A 3,893-nucleotide genomic window follows, 5' to 3' on the forward strand; every position below is an offset into this window, starting at 1 on the left:
GATAGAAAGTGAGGGAATTCAGCCGGGAGCAGTGGCTCACGCTTGTAATCCCAGCACTTAGGGAGGTCGAGGTGGGTGGCTCACTGAGGTCAGGAGTTTAAGACCAGCCTGGCAACATGGTGAAACCCCATCTCTACTAAAAATACAAAAAATTAGTGGAGCGTGGTGGTAGGCGCCTCTAGTCCCAACTACTCAGGAGGCTGAGGCAGGAGAATTGCTTCAACCTGGGAGGCGGAGGTTGCACTGAGCTGAGATGGCGCCACTGCACACTAGCCTGGGCTAGAAGAGTGAAACTCTGCCTCAAAAAAAAAAATAAAATAAAATAAAGTGGGGGAATTGGCCCTGGTGAGCTTGTGGTGGGGACTAGGGTGTTGCAATTGTAGATGAGATGGCCAGGAAGCTGGTGGTGAGAAGGTGACATTTGAGTAAAGAATGAGGGAGGTGAGTGAGCTGGGCTTTGAGTCCAGCCCGGATACCTGGAGAAGAGAGCTCTAGGGAGGGACAGCAGCAAGGAAAAGGCCCAGAGTTAGGACCGTACCTGTAAGAGGTGACAGCGTGCTTGCTGGCAGTCCTCACAGCCCTCGCTCGCTCTCGGCGCCTCCTCTGCCTGGGCTCCCACTTTGGCGGCACTTGAAGAGCCCTTCAGCCCACCGCTGCACTGTGGGCGCCCCTTTCTGGGCTGGCCAAGGCCGGAGCCGGCTCCCTCAGCTTGCAGGGAGGTGTGGAGGGAGAGGCGCGAGCGGGAACCGGGGCTGCACGCGGCGCTTGCGGGCCAGCTGGAGTTCCGGGTAGGCGTGGGCTTGGCGGGCCCCGCACTCCGAGCAGCCGGCCAGCCCTGCCGGCCCCGGGCAATAAGGGGCTTAGCACCGGGGCCAGCGGCTGCGGAGGGTGTACTGGGTCCCCCAGCAGTGCCAGCCCACCGGCGCTGAGCTCGATTTCTCGCCGGGCCTTAGCTGCCTTCCCGCGTGGCGGGGCTCGGGACCTGTAGCCCGCCATGCCTGAGCCTCCCACCCCCTCCATGAGCTCCTGTGCGGCCCCAGCCTCCTCCACGAGCGCCGCCCCCTGCTCCACGGCGCCCAGTCCCATCGACCACCCAAGGGCTGAGGAGTGCGGGCGCACGGCGTGGGACTGGCAGGCAGCTCCATCTTTAGCCCTGGTGTGGGATCCACTGGGTGAAGCCAGCTGGGCTCCTGAGTCTGGTGGGGACGTGGAGAACCTTTATGTCTAGCTCAGGGACTGTAAATACACCAATCGGCACTCTGTATCTAGCTCAAGATTTGTAAATTTGTAAACACACCAATCAGCACCCTGTGTCTAGCTCAGGGTTTGTGAATGCACCAATCTACACTCTGTATCTAGCTACTCTGGTGGGGCCTTGGAGAAGCTTTGTGTCCACACTCTGTATCTAGCTAATCTGGTGGGGACGTGGAGAACCTTTGTGTCTAGCTCAGGGATTGTAAAGGCACCAATCAGCCCCCTGTCAAAACAGACCACTGGGCTCTACCAATCAGCAGGATGTGGGTGGGGCCAAATAACAGAATAAAAGCAGGCTGCCCGAGCCAGCAGTGGCAAGCTGCTCGGATCCCAGCCCACGGTGTGGAAGCTTTGTTCTTTCGCTCTTTGCAATAAATCCTGCTGCTGCTCACTCTTTGGGTCAACACTACCTTTCTGAGCTGTGACGCTCACTGCGAAGGTCTGCAGCTTCACCCCTGAAGCCAGCAAGACCACGAACCCACCGGGAGGAACTAACAACTCCAGACGCGCCGCCTTAAGAGCTGTAACACTCACCGCGAAGGTCCGCAGCTTTACTCCTGAGCCAGCGAGACCACGAACCCACCAGAAGGAAGAAACTCAGAACACATGCGAACATCAGAAGGAACAAACTCCAGAGGCGCCACCTTAAGAGCTATAACACTCACCGCGAGGGTCCGCGGCTTCGTTTTTGAAGTGAGACCAAGAACCCACCAATTCCGGACATGCGTGGACTCACTGAGAAGCAGCAAGTTGGCGTTGACTTAGCCCGCTCAGTGTGCAGAGTGGGTTGAAGAAAAGAATAGACCACATCAGAGGAGTAAAGGGGTGGGGGCAAAAGCCAGAGAAGGTGGGACCTTGGAATCACTGGAATGACTTTGCTTCCACTGTGAGTAGACGGCAGAGCCATTGCAAGTTTGGAGCAGAGGAGTGTTGAATGACTTTAATAGCTGCTCTGTTGGGCATAGATTCAGGGAGGACGGGGCAGGGTAAAACCAGGGAGATAGTAACAAGGCCATTGCAATCATGTAGATGCTAGATGGTGGCGGATTGTAACCTCACCTCACACTGATTCCATGATGAACCATGGTTAACTCAGGGAGGGGCGCTAATGAAGTCAAGGCCAGGGATTCTCGTGAATAACCTTTGGGTAGGTGATCTGGAAGCGAACCTGAGCTTCCAGACCTTTGGAGGGCCTTAGCTGTACTACATTTCAGTACTCCTAAAGCAAGTTTTTCAGAAGATTGCTCAGGCTAAAACACCAAACTTCTTTGCAGTGAGCTGGGCTAGCATCAACTTGAGGCTGAAACCTCGGCTTTCTGTACTGATCAGAAGGTTGAGGTTGATAGCAATACCTGTCTGCAAGTCATTGCAGTAACAAATACTTAACAAATGGGGTTTGTTTTGTAGACCTAATCTTTGAAGACATAAGGCCCACTGTGAGGGGAGCAGTTACTACATTCAGCCCTTGGTAGTAAAATCATAAGAACCATCGATGTAGATGATGGCAATAGATCACATTTCCACTCCCACCCACGCATCTCTGTTCATGATTCCCTGCAGGGCCAGGTGGAGATGTGTGCCTGGGTCGGTATAAACCTCTCTCTGTGTTTCAAGAACACACCTTTGGGAAGGTGACAGTGTGGTGGTGGGACAGCAAACTGCCAGTCTAGAAAGCTACTCCAGGCCTCAGTTTCTCATCTGTGGAATTAAGACATTGGCCTGTAGATCCATGGGATCCATCAGGGATCACCCCAGCTCTAAGCATCTATGATACCGTGGGAATGGAGATGAAGATATTTCATTTAACATCTGGTCAAGAGTCCAAGTAAACAGGTGAGCAACTCTCTTGCATACCTAGAGAGTGTGAGCATGAGTAAATCCTTTCACTCTTGGAATGAGAAGGAAATAGTAAACCCACTTTCTAGGCTAATCATGTGATATTTTACCAAACTCTGAGTTTAGAAAGATGTTATATAATCTGGCTTTTATTGCATGTATTTAGATCGATTTTATCAAGCCATGTTCCCTGATACATATTAGGATTGCACCTCAAAGTCTTGGGTAGCCTTAGGTCATATTTCAGCTGTGGTTCTTTTGTTTAGAGCAAGAAGTATGTGGAAGTATTTTGTTTTGTTTTTATCAATCTTGGTAGCTCACGTGATGTCCTTCAAGAGCCAGCCATACTCTGGGGCTTATCGTCTTGGCAGAAAAAGCAACTGTCCAGAGGTCAAACAAGGGCCTGTTTCCTCCCCTGCGAGCCAGCTGAGACCTTCCATTCCCAGACTGAGTTTCAGTCCTTTAGTTTAGCCTTAAGGCTTTGTTCCCTAATAAAATGCAACACACTGGAAAGACTGCCACTAAGTTACTCTCAGATTTACTTTACAAGGATGAGTTGAGATCAACTTTTGATGAGCAGAGGAGGGCCAAATAGACCATGTGTCCTTGGGAGGGAAGAGCTGTGTCCCTGGGATGGGGAGCATTTTGGAACCAGAGGTTGGAAGCACCAAAGCCGAACAGTTCCTTCTCACCAGTGCTTCCCAGGCAGAGCCTCACAAAACAGCACAATTGTGGCAATTCCCCTGTGAGGCTTCTTTAAGAACCCTATTTTCCCTGGTTTAAGTAAACTCAAATATTTCATT

General features: G+C 52.0%; 1 long non-coding RNA gene across 1 annotated transcript; it reads left to right on the forward strand.

Annotated features, from left to right (window-relative positions):
* The first annotated feature begins 1,934 nt into the window (after nucleotides 1-1,934).
* Nucleotides 1,935-3,603, forward strand: LOC105372135 (uncharacterized). The gene is made up of 2 exons (XR_935514.4): nucleotides 1,935-2,140; nucleotides 2,815-3,603. It is a non-coding gene; the product is annotated as an uncharacterized LOC105372135 (long non-coding RNA).
* Nucleotides 3,604-3,893: the final 290 nt, after the last annotated feature.

The sequence above is a fragment of the Homo sapiens genome, chromosome 18, assembly GCF_000001405.40.
Source record: "Homo sapiens chromosome 18, GRCh38.p14 Primary Assembly".
Classification (NCBI taxonomy): domain Eukaryota; kingdom Metazoa; phylum Chordata; class Mammalia; order Primates; family Hominidae; genus Homo; species Homo sapiens.